This window comes from Homo sapiens, chromosome 4 (assembly GCF_000001405.40).
Source record: "Homo sapiens chromosome 4, GRCh38.p14 Primary Assembly".
Classification (NCBI taxonomy): Eukaryota; Metazoa; Chordata; class Mammalia; order Primates; family Hominidae; genus Homo; species Homo sapiens.
In genome coordinates, this window is record NC_000004.12 from 112,069,136 (window position 1) to 112,085,389 (window position 16,254).

At 38.7% G+C, this 16,254-nt stretch overlaps 1 long non-coding RNA gene and 1 pseudogene across 4 annotated transcripts in view, besides 3 other annotated features; one reads left to right on the forward strand and one right to left on the reverse strand.

Moving 5' to 3' along the window:
• LINC02945 (long intergenic non-protein coding RNA 2945) overlaps positions 1-16,254 on the reverse strand; it is a 308,805-nt gene that overhangs the window by 265,670 nt on the left and 26,881 nt on the right. The window contains exon 1 of one of the 4 annotated variants that reach the window (NR_186683.1): positions 3,466-3,527. The exons of 2 other annotated variants lie outside the window; for them this stretch is intronic. This is a non-coding gene — a long non-coding RNA (long intergenic non-protein coding RNA 2945). Of the gene's footprint in view, positions 1-3,429; positions 3,528-16,254 lie in introns of those variants that run through there. One more of the 4 variants, NR_186680.1, reaches the window with a different exon arrangement.
• Positions 8,157-8,206: an enhancer, noted in NCBI's record as "active region_21819". NCBI's record gives its function as "activates an Ori minimal core promoter by ATAC-STARR-seq in GM12878 lymphoblastoid cells {active_cell/tissue: GM12878}" and the evidence as "EXISTENCE:reporter gene assay evidence [ECO:0000049][PMID:35858748]".
• TUBB8P3 (tubulin beta 8 class VIII pseudogene 3) lies at positions 8,460-9,391 on the forward strand (annotated as a pseudogene).
• Positions 13,539-14,738: an enhancer, noted in NCBI's record as "P300/CBP strongly-dependent group 1 enhancer chr4:113003830-113005029 (GRCh37/hg19 assembly coordinates)". NCBI's record gives its function as "activates an origin of replication core promoter dependent on BRD2, BRD4, P300/CBP, MED14 and CDK7 cofactors, with strong dependence on P300/CBP, by STARR-seq in HCT116 cells {active_cell/tissue: HCT116}" and the evidence as "EXISTENCE:reporter gene assay evidence [ECO:0000049][PMID:35650434]".
• Positions 14,138-14,432: an enhancer, noted in NCBI's record as "tiled region #2998; HepG2 Activating DNase matched - State 8:EnhW". NCBI's record gives its function as "activates a minimal TATA promoter and a strong SV40 promoter by Sharpr-MPRA in HepG2 cells {active_cell/tissue: HepG2}" and the evidence as "EXISTENCE:reporter gene assay evidence [ECO:0000049][PMID:27701403]".

Sequence of the window (16,254 nt, forward strand, 5' to 3'; positions counted from 1 at the left end):
GAAATGCGTATCAGAACGAAAATGAGCACCACTTCACATTCACTAAAATGGCTATAATTTTAAAAAAACATATTAATAACAAATGTCAGTGTGGAGGTGGAGAAATTGTAACTTTCATAAATTTCTGGAAGGAATGCAAAATGATGCAACCAGTGTGGAAAATACTTGGGCAGTTACTCAAAAAGTGAAACATAATTACCATGACCCAGCAATTCCACTCCCAAGAATGTACCTGAGAAAACTGAAAATATGATCAAACAAAAACTTGTACACAATTGTTCATAGCACTATTATTCATAATACCCAAATAGTGCAAACAACCTAAACATCCATCAACTGAAGAATAGTTAAACAAAATGTAGTATATTCATAACATGAAATACTTACTCAGCTATAAAAAGGAATAAAGTATTGACATATGCTACAACATGGATGAATCTTGAAAATATAATGCTAAGTGAAACCTAGGCAATACCATTCAGGACATAGGCATGGGCAAGGACTTCATGTCTAAAACACCAAAAGCAATAGCAGCAAAGGCCAAAATTGACAAATGGAAGCTAATTAAACTAAAGAGTTTCTGCACATCAAAAGAAACTACCATCAGAGTGAACAGGCAACCTACAGAATGGGAGAAAATTTTTGCAATCTACCCATCTGACAAAGGGCTAATATCCAGAATCTACAAAGAACTTAAGCAAATTTACAAGAAAAAGTCAAACAACCCCATCAAAAAGTGGGCAAAGGATATGAACAGACACTTCTCAAAAGAAGACATTTATGCAGCCAAAAAACACATGAAAAAATGCTCATCATCACTGGCCATCAGAGAAATGCAAATCAAAACCACAATGAGATACCATCTCATACCAGTTAGAATGGCGATCATTTAAAAGTCAGGAAACAACAGGTGCTGGAGAGGATGTGGAGAAATAGGAACACTTTTACACTGTTGGTGGGACTGTGAACTAGTTCAACCATTGTGGAAGACAGTGTGGCGATTCCTCAGGGATCTAGAACTAGAATTACCATTTGACCCAGCCATCCCATTACTGGATATATACCCAAAGGATTATAAATCATGCTGCTATAAAGACACATGCACACGTATGTTTATTTCGGCACTATTCACAATAGCAAGGACTTGGAACCAACCCAAATGCCCATCAATGATAGACTGGATTAAGAAAATGTGGCACATATACACCATGGAATACCACGCAGCCATAAAAAAGATGAGTTTATGTCCTTTGCAGGGACGTGGATGAAGCTGGAAACCATCATTCTCAGCAAACTATCCCAAGGACAGAAAACCAAACACCACATGTTCTCACTCATAGGTGGGAATTGAACAATGAGAACACTTGGACATAGTAAGGGGAACACCACACACCGGGGCCTATCATGGGGTGGGGGGAGGGGGGAGGGATAGCATTAGGAGATATACCTAATGTATATGACAAGTTAATGGGTGCAGCACACCAACATGGCACATGTATACATATGTAACAAACCTGCGCATTGTGCACATGTACCCTAGAACTTAAAGTATAATAATGAAATTAAAAAATAAAGAAAATATAATGCTAAGTGAAAGAAACCAGACACAAAAGACCACATGTGATTCCACTTATAGGAAATGTCCAGAATGGGCAAATCCTGACACAGAAAGGAAATTATGGAAAGAGAGAATTTGGGACAAACTGCTAATAAATACAGGATCTGGGGGAAGGAGGGAATTGAAAAGTTCTAGAATTAACTAATGGTGATAGTTGCACAACTTGGTGAATCCACTAAAAACCATAAAGTGTACACTTTAAACTGGTGAATTTTATATTGTGCAAGGTATATGTCAATTTTTAAAAATACTCTTGAAAAAGTCAAGCCAGTGAGTACCTTTAGTGAGGTTGGTAATTAAGAAAGAGCTTTCAGCGAGCCCCAGATGGGCTTTGGGGAAGCTGGAGCAGCATTTTTTAAAATGTGGATTGTGGTTATTTGTTTTAAAATAGTTTATTAAGCTGTGTATTTACGCTTTAAGTGCAATTCTGAATGTGTCTTATATTTTATAATAATTTTTAAGAGAGAAAAAGGTGGAGATAGTAAACTGGCATCTATATATTGTTTCCAAAAAGAAATTAAAGTAGTGAAATTAACATGAAATTTCATTTCTTTGGAAATGAGATAAATTAATGTATATTTAAGGTAATGATTTTTATGTATACTACATACATGTATTGGTATCATAAACATATTCTTATATTTCAAATAGGTATCTTAAAAGATGTGTATTGTTGATGAAAGGATTGTTTAAAATTGAAATAAAATCAGAGAAACAAGGATTGGAAACAAATAACACTAACCTCAAAAATTTACGAACAATAAAAAGGTAATTGTATACTTCCCTAAAAAGTAAAAACAATGACAAATTAATTTGTAACTAAATGAACAGTTTTGTGGACCATGAGAAAAAAAATCAGAGAACTAGATAGTTTTATTTCAAAAATATACACTTAAAAATTATCTGCAATATATCCAACTTGTATTCTTTGCCCGCCCACCCACTTTCCTCTTTCCTTTCCCTTCTCTTTCTCCTCCTCCTCCTCTTCTTTCTTCTTTTATTATTTAATACTCAAAGGGTGCCAAAAAGGAAAATAGAATAAAGTAGAATAAAGAAAGCAAAAATAAGGAATGTCAAGAGGAAAACTTTCACTTAATTTTACCATTTCTTGACATTAAGTAATGGGTACACTCATAAAAGTTTCTTGTAAATCAAATTACTTTAAATATTCTGGAAAAGTAATTGCAAAATGTATACCTAATAATAGGGCATTCTTCTTAAAATTGAAGCATTCTATTACAGTTCAAATAAACATTTCTGAAATTTGTACAATTGGGATTATTACTCTATATTTATTTAATTTTCCTAAAGAAGGATAACTTTGGTGATATGTTTACTGGATAGATGTATTATTTTTTCCATAATTGAAAATTTTAGTTTCAATCTTGGAAGGCAATATAAAGTAATAGTTATGAACAGTCATTCTAGAATCAAATATTGTTTTATATTCTGGCCACATTATCAATAAGCTATGTGATTTTTGATAAAGTAATTAACTTATTTGTGCTTCAGTCTCCTTATCTTTAAAAAGAACATAATAATAGTACATACAGCATTGGGTTTTTGTGAGGAATAAATGAAATAAATACGTGTTTGTGTGTGGTTGGGTGTGCAGAGAGAGTTTACAATAAAATTTCAGCACATAATCAGTACTAGTAGAACTAGTGGTAATAATATCTATTACTTCATATACTATGAATCTTTCTCTAAAAAGCCTACCATATCTATGTGTATTAGTCTATTTTCACACTGCTATAAAGAAATATCCAAGACTGGGTAATTTATAAAGGAAAGAGGTTTAATTGACTCACAGTTCCACATGGCTGCAGAGGTCTCCGGAAACTTACAATCATGGCAGAAGCTGAAGGGGAAGCAAGCAACTTCTTTACAAGGCAGCAGGAGAAAGAAGAATGAAGGAGGAACTTCCAAACACTTATAAAACCATCAGATCTCGTGAGCACTCACTCACTATCATGAGAACAGCATGGGGGAAACCACCCCCATGATCCAATCACCTCCCTCCCTCCACACGTGGGGATTACAGGTCCCTCCCTCAACACATGGGGATTACAATTCGAGATGAGATTGGGTGGGGACACAGAGCCAAATCATATCACTATGAAGGGTGTTGTGGGAAGTCAGGGACCCTGAACAGAGGGACCAGCTGGAGCTGAGGCAGAAGAACATAAATTGTGAAGATTTCATGAACATTTATCACTTCCCAAAATTAATACTCTTGTAATTTCTTATGCCTGTCTTTAATCTCTTAATCCCATTATCTTTGTAAGCTGAGAATGTACGTCACCTGAGGATCACTATTGTACAAATTGATTGTAAAATATGTGTGTTTGAACAATATGAAATCAGTGCACCTTAAAAAAAAAACAGAATAACAGTGATTTTCAGGGAACAAGGGAAGACAACCATAAGGTCTGACTGCCTGCAGGGTTGGGCAGAATACAGCCCTATTTTTCTTCTTGCAGGGAGCCTATAAACGGACGTGCGAATAAGAGAAATATCACTGAATTCTTTTCCCAGCAAGTAATAACCCTGGGGAAGGAATGCATTCCTTGGGGGAGGTCTATGAACAGCCGCTCTGGGAGTGTCTGTCTTATGCAGTTGAAATAATGACTGAAATACGCTCTGGTCTCCTGCAGTGCCCTCAGGCTTACTAGGATTGGGAAATTCCAGCCTGGTAAATTCTAGTCAGACCAGTTATCTGCTCTCAAACTCTGTTTCCTGTTAAGATGTTTATCAAGACAATACGTGCATGGCAGGACATAGACCCTCATCAGTATTTCTAATTTTGCCTTTGCCTTGTGATCTTTATTGCCCTTTGAAGTATGTGATCCTTGTGACCTACTCCCTGTTCATACACCCCCTCCCCTTTTAAAATCCCTAATAAAAACTTGCTGGTTTTGTGGCTCGGGGTCATCATCACGGTCCTACCAATATGTGATGTCATCCCCAGAGGCCCAGCTGTAAAATTCCTCTCTTTGTACTCTTTCTCTTTATTTCTCAGACCAGCCAACACTTAGGGAAAATAGAAAAGAACCTATGTTGAAATACTGGGGCTGGTTCCCCCAGTAAATGGGAAAAAAAAATCCTTCTTACCTAAGATCCTTTTTTCCAACCAAAATCCAATCCAAGAAAAAAGTATCCTTTAAATCCAAACTCATTTCCTTAGCTATTAATGCAGTTTATCATAGCTACATATTGAAAGTTACAAATATGCCAGGCTTTGTCCATGTAGAACATCATTTTTTAATCTGTCAGCTTCTGACATTAATAACACTGCAAAAAGAAGGACAGGAAATTACTCCTTTGACTCCTTCATGATAAAAAAAAATTAAAATTTTATCTGATAAAATGAAACACCCAACATAGACCTCTTATTTTATCCCATAATACACACAAAGCAGTAATTTTACTTGAACATTGCTTCCTGATGTGCCTAGTTCTATAGTTAATTCCAAAAGTCCTATATGTTCAAGCAATGCTTCTCGTGTTGATTTTCTCATGTAGGTATGATCTGTTTTACTCACTGAAGCCAGAGTGGGTTTTTTTTTTTTTTAATATCTGATTATGGCACTTAACTGCTTAAAATCCTTCAATGTCCGTACATTGTTTTTGGAATAAGAAGCTAAATCCTGGATACAACCTTCAAGGCCTTACATGATTTAGTCTCAACTTCCTTTTCAGCCTCATTGCTAATTACTGTCTACTTCGATTGCTGAGCCTTGACCCCCAAACCTGCTTCCAGTTCCCTGTATGCTTCTCCTTCATAGCACTTAACACAATTGATGTTAATTATTTGTGCTAAGGGTTTGCCTAATACCACTTACCATACTAGATTGTAAGCTCCATGAAAATAGCAAGTATAAACATCTTACTTGCTATTGTATCCCGGCATCTAATCTGGTACGTGGTGCATACTCAATAAATATTTATACAGCACATGAATACCTAAGGGAGAATCTCATATTTTTATTTCTTTGCATTCCCTCAAGTTAAAACACAAGAAATATTATGATGAATTTAAATGTCAAATAAGACACCTAATACATATACTTAGCCTAGAACTGTGCCAGACTCAGTAATTATTTATTGCTTATTATATATTGAACACATATATCACTTCTTTGCCTTTTGACTAAGATCATGTGTAAGATATATTAAATGATATTATTACTGGTCAATATCTGACTATAAAGTCATAAAACATTTACTAAAAATTGATACTAATATTAAGCCTTCCTGAAATAGTCCTATTGAATTTCCATAAATAAGAGGAAAACTTAAATGAAAGTTTGCTATTTTAACTTCTGTGGCATTTAATCAAAACAATTCAGTAGTAATGTAACTAGAATGGCCCATATAACTGGCTTGGAATGCATGTTTGGTCATATCTTGTATATTTCCATGGAATCACCCTCTCCCCCACTTGTCTGTATTAATAGAAAATCCATTATCTCTCTCTTGAGACCTACCCTTTCCCACTCTTGAGTCCAGTGGCTTACTCACTCTAAACTCCTGGCTGATGGAGAAAACTTCCTGGGCTCAGCAAGGCTGTTGTTTCTTTCATTGCCACTAGATGTCGTTGTTGAAACCTAATATACATTCACAATCTGATGGCGGTGGCATGTCTATCCTCAGCAAAATCCTTTACAGACCCAGACCCTGTATAACTGCACACTTGAGTGTAAATCAGGGCTCTTCAATCTCCTACTCAGATGTCCAGTTTTCTTCTCAAAGCATGAAAATCAGGCTAGGGTGGCTGAGTCTAGAGGGGTTTACAGCCCTGGTAACATATTATGTCAGAACCAACTTACCCCATGACCTGCAAACAAAGGGGCCCCAGTTCAAATATGTCTCCTTGAAATATTTTGTTTATCCATACTGTGTTTGAAATTTCATATAAAAATTTTCACACAGGTCGGGCACAGTGGCTCACGCCTGTAATCCCAGTATTTTGGGAAGCCATGGTGGGCAGATCACTTGTGGTCAGGAGTTTGAGACCAGCCTGGCCAACATGGTGAAACCTCCTCTCTAATAAAAATACAAAAATTTAGTTGGGCATGGTGGCGTGTGCCTGTAATCCCAGCTACTCAAGAGGCTGAGGCAGGAGAATCACTTGAACCCAGGAGGCAGAGGTGGCAGTGAGCCAAGATCACACCACTGTACCCCAGCCTAGGTGACAGAGCCAGACTGTCTCATTAAAAAAATTTTTTTTTAATTTATAAAAATTTTTCACCCAAACAAGCTGTATCTCCAGTTTCTCTTGGATAATACTGCAGTACTGAGCTCCTATCCGGCACAGCAACACCATCTGGGGCTGAATCGCAATAGCATCTCTCACCTCCTCCATATCAGATTGCTCAAGGCAAGCACTTCGCTGCAGTGCCCTCCACTCCACATTCCCTGATGCTGGTTGTTACTTGCCACAGCCAATTGAATGTATGGTGCCTGTTCTAGGCCCTGATGGCTGTGCAAGAGCAAAAATCCAGGGTCCACCTTTTCTCACAGGTTTTCCTATGTAGATCTGTGGCCCTTACCTGCCACTAGATGTGAGTCAAGGACACTTTTGTCCATCAGAGAAGTCTCCAGGACCTTTCCTCCCAAAAGGCTCACTGACCCCCAACCACCCAGTAACAAGCTCTGCAGACAAGACCAGCCACATAATTTGCAAAGCCCAATGCAAATGGAAATTCAGGACCTTTTGTTCAAAAGTCAGGAAAAGAGTGCCAGTAAAAGTACTACTATATTAAATGTTTTCCTTTCTTCCACAGTCTCTCTCTCTTCTCCTGTCATGGTGATTTTTATTTGCTATTTAAAGTTATGCTCCCTCAGGCATGGGAATACTTGCAGGGCAAGTACAGATCTTCACAGGTGCCCAGGAGCCCTGCCTGTGACCCTATGCATGTAGCCCACGACCTCTCTGCATCCACCAAACTGACAGGCTGTGCCCTACTCAGGGGCGGAAAGGTCATTCGCCTCTTCCCACAGTTCCATGGTCCCACTGTCCCAACCCAGAGTGGATGGGCAACCACCACGGAATGGGAACCTCCATGCCATGCATTCAGTGTCTGGATATGGTGGGCCAAAGACTTTCCTGCCAACTCACTCACCAAATGTACCGTGGAGTTACCAGCCTGGGGCAGGGACAGCCACCACCTCGCCCTGCCCTGAGATGCTGTGGGGCACACATCGACCCTGAACCTCCCATATCGGTGTTCAAGCCCCCACTAGGGGAAAAAGGCAATGGCAGAATGCTGCCCATCTCAACCCCAACACCCTTGAGGTGACCACCTCAAGCAGAAGGCACATCAGTTAATGGGGTACAAGCAGAGAGGAAGAGGCAGGGTGAGGCCAGGGTGTGAGGGCATAGGAAGCAGGTAGCCATGAACCCATCCTGGGGAAGTGGGAGGAGGGGGACCGAGAGGGAGCTGAGGCTCCATGTCCCTGGCACATGCTCCATTTTTCCATCGGACTTCACTTATGAAAATACAAATTCTAAAATAAAACTACAAGGAATGTCATGACAGCAACTGCTGAGCATTAAGCCCAGTTATGGGGCCCTTCTGAGCTGGGGATCCTGTGTGACTGCACTGTTCTCACACCCTAAGGCTGGCCCTGTCAGCAGACAGTGGGATCTGAAGAGAAGAAACTTTGAAGCCACAAAAAGTTTTTGTTACACACTTCCTCCAGGGCCATGGGGGCCTAATTACCATATGTTTCAGAACTTAGTGGGGCACTCAAGTGACTCTTCTCTGAAGAAGAAAAGTTGGTTTGATTTATTCTGTGCACCTAGTGTAAAGGTGGCTGGCAGTTTCTTCATGTACATGGTGTCCGACACAGTGGTGGAGCCCTACAACACCACTTTCTCAGTCTACCAGCTCATAGAAAATGCAGGTGAGACCTTTTGCATTGATAATGAAGCTCTCTATGACATCTGCTTCAGAACCCTAAAGTTGCCCACACCCAACTATGGTGACCTGAACCACCTGGTATCTGCCACCATGAGTGGGGTCACCACCTGCCTGCACTTCCCAGGCCAGCTGAATGCTGACCTTGGGAAACTGGCCATAAACATGGTCCCATTCCCCCACCTGCACTTCTTCATGCCTGGCTTTATCCTGCTGACCAGCCGGGGCAGCCAGCAGTACCGGGCCTTGATGGTGGCTGAGCTCACCCAGCAGACGTTTGATGCCAAGACTATGATGACTGCCGGTGCGACCCCTGCAAGGCTGCTACCTAATGGCAGCTGCCATTTTCAGGGGCCACATGTCCCGGAGGGAGGTGGACGAGCAAATGCTTAACAGCGAAAACTAGAACAGCAGCTACTTTGCTGACTGGATCCCCCACAATGTGAAAACAGCTTTCTGTGACATCCCACCTCCAGGGCTAAAAATGTCTGCTGCCTTCACTGGCAACAACATGGCCATCCAGGAGCTGTTCAGGCACATTTCAAAGCAGTTCACTGCCGTGTTCAGGCACAAGGCCTTCTTGCCCTGGTGTATGGGTGAGGACATGGATGAGATGGAATTCACTGAGGCCGAGAGCAACAGGAACAACCTGATGTTTGAGTACCAACAGTACCAGGAGGAGGGAGAGTTTGAGGAGTGGGCCCAGGAGGAGGTGGCCTAGTAGAGCCTTCTGTTAGATAGAAGTGATACGAATTCTTTATTCACTCCCAGTGTGTTCTATGAAAGCTATGTCTCTCTGTGTGTGCACTTCTTGTGTGCTCACCTGTATTAAAACATTTTCATAGTAAAAAAGAAAAAGTTATCTAAGTTATACACGTTTTGCATCACCAAGCACAGTAGTTAGGCAAAGAAAATCCTCTAAGAAATTCACACTTTTTGAAGAGGGTGATTAAATCATTAGTAAGATAAAATAACAGCAACAATAATAAAAGCACTGACACCTTCCCAAGCAACAGTGTTGCCACAGAGGAAAGCAACTGGCAAGTACATTTGTGCTCATTCAGATATGATTACTGCTCTTTGCTTTTAACTGGATTTGGTAGAAAAGAAAACTAATAAAAATACATGTTTTTTTAAGTGTCCAATGAAGAAAAAAAGGAAATATAGCATATTTTATTATGGGAAGTTATCAACTTATATTGGCCAAAATCTTCTGAAGATCACCAAGTAACAGAATAGTAAACCAGTCGGGTTACAACTTAATGAGGAGCCTCAGCTTTTCTTTCCCAGTAGAACACAGACTGATAAGGAGAAGAGATAACTATTTTCTTCCATTGTTTCCCTCCTCTTTTCATCTAAGCACATTACACTGAATATTCTTTTAGATTATATCACCCTGGACTTTACCTTCTCTTTCTTCTTTCGACAGCATGATGTTAGCACATTTGATATCCAGCATATTTCACTATGTTCCTGATTCATAATTATATTATTTGAATTTAATGTTTTGTTGATGTCAACATTGAGATTATCATAGTTTTCATTAAGCATGTTTCATGTTATAGTGTGTTTTGGTCACTGGCTCAGATTATACCAATAAGGATTCTAGAAAAATTACAAAGTATATTAGTTTTATGTGGCATAAATCACTGTGCAAACATTCAATTTTATTTTATAGTCTGTTTATTATTCCATCATTCCCTCCCATGATGTTAATAGTTTAAATTTTAATACTGGAATGCAACATACAACACACAAATGATTTCATCTGGCTATTTCAATAATAAGGAAACAAATTAAATAAAAATGAAAGGGAAGTTTTTGCCATCTGCTACTTTGAAGAACTATTATTAATGCATCATCTAATTATTGTACAACTGTGTGATTCTCAGCCTTTATGTTACTTTTTTTACCTTTTTGTGAAAAAAAAAGTCTTTTATAAAGGTTCTACCTTCAAAGAGCTCTGGAGTCCTCAATTCCAGGGGCTTCAGTATGCTTCAGTAACTGTCTAACCTCCTCAATTCCAGTGGATTCAATACACTTTAGTAAATCCCTCCCATCACCCTACTTTGAACCTTGTCAACTCTAACATTAACCCCAAAATACTACTCTCTGACAAGTTCTTACCCTGCCAGCCCTTGACTCATCCATTGATCCTTCCTGGCCTCAAGTCCTTCCCTGCCATACGGGACACTATGGTTTACTACTTGGCATATCATTTCTCTCTAACAAGTTCAATTCTCTAGAGCATGTGTTTGATTTCATAGGCCCTAATAAACAATTTCTCAATTTCTTTGTCCTTCTTTCTTATGTATTCACTTACCGTTCACTGCAAGCTCCCAATCTAACCCTAATCTCCTCCTTCTCAGCAGATGGTCTTGCCTTAGATACCACTGAATACTTAGTGAAGTCTCAACCATCTTTTTGTCATCCATGCTCAGAGTAAGAGGTATGTCTCTTCCCCATTAATTATCTACTTTACTCATCATCTCAGGCATCCCACAACTTTCCCTTCCCTCTCCTTCGAGAGCTTCCCCAACTATTTCTCTTCCCCTTTCCTGTGTGTTCAACCTCTTCCCCTTACTGGGTCCATTTTTCACATTATAAGCACGCTCAACTTGGTTCACTTAAAACAATGCAAGAAAAGACACCTTCTGATCCCACAATACCTGACCGGTTTCTCTAACACACACAGGGCTTACATTTCACATCTTATTTTCCCTACCTTGCCCTCATGCTACCTCTCTTCACCTAGTTAAATCCAACTCTTCTTTTGGATATTAGGACACGTATCAAACCTTGGGGAAATTATCCTGACTGCCCAAGCCTGATCAACTTCCATTGTCAAACACTTGCAATGAACTGTATTCCCTCTCTTCAGAGAATTGTTCTAATTTTAATTATACATACATTAACATGATTCATTTATTAACTTTTCTTTCCATTACTCTTTAAGGTTTCAGAGAGCAGGCATCATATTCTTTTAGAACAGCATTTTACCCTCAGTGTATTACACAGATCCTGGAATATATTTGGTGTTTGACAAATATTTGTAAATGAATGGATATGTTCATTGATTGTATCTCTTAAATCCTCTTCTAAAAGTATATTGTAGTTTGCCCATTGCTCTGGTATGCATGTGGGTGTCCCTTAAAATTCCTATGTTGGAAATTAACCCCCAGTGTGATAATACAGCCTGTAGGAGGTGATTAGGAGGTACAGTCTTTAGGAGGTGATTAAGTCATGAGGGCTTTGCCCTCATGAATAGAATTAGTGCTTTTATGAAAGAGGTTGAAGGGAGCTGCCTTGCCCTTCTGCCATGAGAGGACACAGCAATAAAGTGCCACTAATGAAACAGAGAATGAGCTCTCACTAGACACCAAACCTGCCAGTACCTTGTTCGTGGATTTCCCAGCCTCCAGAACTGTGAGCAATAAATTCTGTTGTTTAAAAATTACCTTATCTAAGGTATTTTGTTATCGCAGCAGGCATGGAGTAAGATGTATTCAGAAAAAAAAATATGAGTCTTTCAGGAAAATAAAACACCCAATTTTTTCTTCATTATTAGTGACGCTAAAAGGCAAAGAGCATGTACAAGGAGAAAAAAAAAAAGGCATTGGCTTAAGGATTGGGAAGCCAACTCCCAGTCTGTCTGCCGTGCTCAACCTCTTACACATTGTGGGAAACAGACCTGCATTTTTTTAAGGTTTTTCTGAAACCATCTAATTTTCAGAATATTGCCCATTAATGCAATTAATGGACTATTTCAGAAGAAAACTTTGAAAACTGTATTATTTCTCAAGAAATATTTTGAAATTATTTGTATCTATTGAGCACCTACTTAACAAATGCTAATTTGGCCTATGGACTTGCTTCTAACTATGCATTAGCTCATACATGCATAGCGACCAATATACCTGGATATAACTAAGATGCCACAGAAAAGGTTTCCTTTACCACAAGGAAGCACAACCAGCCCAATTCCAATTACACATGGAAACTAGAACTTGGATACCATTTATTTCTCGGGTGAAAAGATTAGGAATATATTGTAAAAAATGACGACAGAGTGTCCATTTCTAATGGGGAATTTTGACACTCTATTAATAATCAATTTTTCATGGATTTTCCATTTGTCTTTTTCCCAGAAGATGCCGTTATGGCATTTTCCACAGTGGTTTAAAAATGTGTATTTTCTAATAACCTTCTAATTGTAAAAAGATAAATTTTTACAATTTATCTTTCATCAAACTCTCTGCTTTGGCTTTGTCTAAAGTAAAGGATGAAAAAAATAACCTGCTTAAAAATTTTTAATAGAGTTTACCAAGATAAATTCCTTAGGTAGGTTTCATCTGGTATTCCTATTTCCAGAGACTTCACCATGTGGAAAGATGCTCGAAACTGATAATTATATAAACCTGAAGGAGAACATTTGGCTGAACATATGTAGCTGGACTTTCAACAAAGTGTGCAATGATGTTTTATAAAAGTAATGCCACCAAGCAAGAGAGAGTCCTTTTTTAAGTCATCATAAGTAATTACATAAGTTCCCACACTCAGAGGACCAATATTTACTAAGTTTCCTAATGGCATTTAGCAACAAGTCTTACTATTAAAAAAGGAGATGTACCTCAGCAAAATATTCAGGTTGTAAATGTTTAGGGAATTAAGGAGTTGGTAGGTGGTTAATAAAACAACAAGATGCATAGCTAAGGAAAAAGCAAATGAAGCAGGAGCTGTTATTGTTTTCCATAATCACCATATAAGCCAAAAAATGTGGTTTATAATTATGATGTATGCATGGATTTGTCTAGAAAGACACATTGTGGTAAGGCCTACATCAAAATAAGATCAGAAAAACCTTTTCTAGTGGTAGCTATATATCACTAACCTACTAACAAAGGTACTAACTTCAACTTGCCTTGGGACTCAGCCTATGTCAAACAAGAGTCCTCTTTTGAGGATGAAAATCAGGCAGCATTCAGCTCACTGCAACCTCCACCTCCTGGGCTCAAGCGATCCCCCCACCTCAGTCTCCCAACTAGCTGGGACTACAGGCAAGTGCCATCATGCCCGGCTAATTTTTGTAATTTTTGTAGAGACAGGGTTTCACCATGTTGCCCAGGATGGTCTCAAACTCCTGGGCTCAAGCAATCCACATGCCTCAGTCTCCCAAATTGCTGGGATTACAGGCATGAGCCACCGTGCCCAGCCTAACATGTTGCTTAATTACACGTATCGAGCGAGTATGGTGGCTTCTTAAAAAGTTAAGTATGGAATTACCACATATGGAATATAGTCCATGGAAATTCAACTTGACCTGAATTTTAAATATATATACCTATATATGCATACACACTTGTTTTATATGTGCACCATTTGAAGTTGGCATTTATTAACAGGATATTTCTATTACTCACATGAAAAAGAGTTCGTGAGGCTTTTAGGTACACCCACCTGCACTGCTTACCTTGCAAATTCACCCCAACCTCTTTCTTGCCTGTATGGATAGTCCCATTTACATTTCATATACCAGAGAAATCCTAAGTCATTTATTACTTAAAAACCAATGATGACATTTCTTGGCAAGGCCCCAACATTATTAATTTATGAGAGAAGGCTGTAGTAACTTATCCAAGAAGGCCACATGTTTTCTTCTCTGTCATCCTTGACCTCATTTGTGGCTGTGTTTCCTCCTTCCCTGAATGCATATTATCCCCATGATCCTGGAGGAAAAATGACTCATCTGCTCAAAGGTGAATGTTTTGGAATATTTATTGTTTGAGACCTGGCTGACTCATGTTTATGGCTTTTCCTGTGATTTCTCTTTTATTCAGAGTTTCCTGAGCATGATCTTTTCACCTCTCGGGACTTGTCCATGATTTTATTTCAAAGGAAATGTCCTCCCTCAAACACTACTTTCCTGAAGGGTGGCTATTTGTCCTTAAAGTCCAAGTAAATAAGAAACCCCCTCATAGAAGTTCTTCAGGGTCCTTCTTTCCATCTCTCATTGGATTAATCACAGGCATATCTGCGCTCCCAGGGTATCTTGACACAGACATCTATGGCTGCACTTTCCTCACCACATTGCAATGTCCTTCCACTCAGAGAGGAGAGAACTGTGCACTTCCCTACTAGACTGTTGCTCTTCTCCCATGGAGAGAATTTTTTTTTGTCTCTATATTATCTGCACATAAGACAATGCCAAGAACTAATAGATTCCCAATTAGTGTTTGTTCAATGTTGATTATTTGAATTCTAACATGTTGTCTATTATATTACTAGAGGAGCTGAGATTTAAATCCAGGCCTGTTGTATCCAAAGCCCATGATATTTCCCCTCCAACATATGATCTGTGTATCTGTTCACTAAGCCTCATTTTTTTCTTCCTCCTGACCACACAACTAGAGTTCATCTTCCAGTCATAAATAAACAAAAGTAAAATATGCCACTTTAAGGCGTGGCTTCTAAAAATAACTTCTGCCAATCTTGTACCATTTATTTCTTCCTTTGTTTGCTAGCTAGATTCAGAAGACCCAATAGAGGAATCCAAGACCCTAGTAAATAGCAGAGCCATTAGATAGAAAAAGTCTGGGCTCCTGAGTCACCACGTGGAGGAAGCTAGGAATATCCTAGTAGAAATATTGTGTGAGCAAAAAAGAATACTGTATGTTAGTTATTAAGCTGCTAAAAATTTTGAAGCTTTTATTCAGCAGTTAGCCTACCCTGATTAATGTACTACCAGAATTACAATTTTTATAACATTTTTCTGATTTTTAAAAGCTACATGTACACTCTAGAAAATTTAAAAATAGAAAATAATAAAAAAGAAAAATAATATTCACTACTCAGAGATAAACATTGTTTAATATTTTTGTTATACATTACACATTTTATCAGTGTTAAGGGGCAGGGGAGGAGTTAGATATAGTAGAGAGAACAAAGAGATGTTATTTAAAAGATAGAAGTAGCAGTTTTCTTAGAGAAGAGCACTATCTTGCTATCTTTTGTTCCTTGGTAAATTATTTCATTGTGAAGTGAAGTGATGGTCCCCAGGACATAGTATAGTAAGCAGAAGAATGGCAAAATTAAATTGTTTTGCCTAACAAGTAAAAGGATTTTGAGACTTTCTGGGCAATGAAAGAGCCAAACAGAGAAGTGAGAGAGAGAAGCCAGGAAGAAGTTCTCAGTGTTGGGAATTCCCAAGAGACATTCAAGAACAAGAATGTGTAGCATCTAGTCTTACATTGTTTGCCTTGTGTCCTGCTATCCCATAATGCAAACCCCTTGCTGTGACACCCCTGGATGTTCAATGAATTCTCATCTATGTAAATGTTGATATGAGTTGTGTTTTAAGAAAACTGAGGGAAAAGGCAAGAAGTGAGAACATAATAGAAGTTAGAATCTCAGGAAGACATCAGAGGAAGAGATGACAATGAAAAACATAAGACCCCCTCCCTCCTAAATAACGTTATGTACATTTGCCCAAACTTTTCATGTCCTGCTATAATACACTTTTAACAGCTGCATGCTATTCCAGCATATGACCACTCCATCACTGACTGAACCCTCCCTATATCATGCCATTTACATTCCTTTCAGTTTTTCACTGTTAAACATAGTTCCTCAGCAAACATCCTCATACGTAAAATTTGGGTCCAGGCCCATTATTTCTTGGCTTAGCCAAGGCTCCCTTTGTTTAAAGAACAA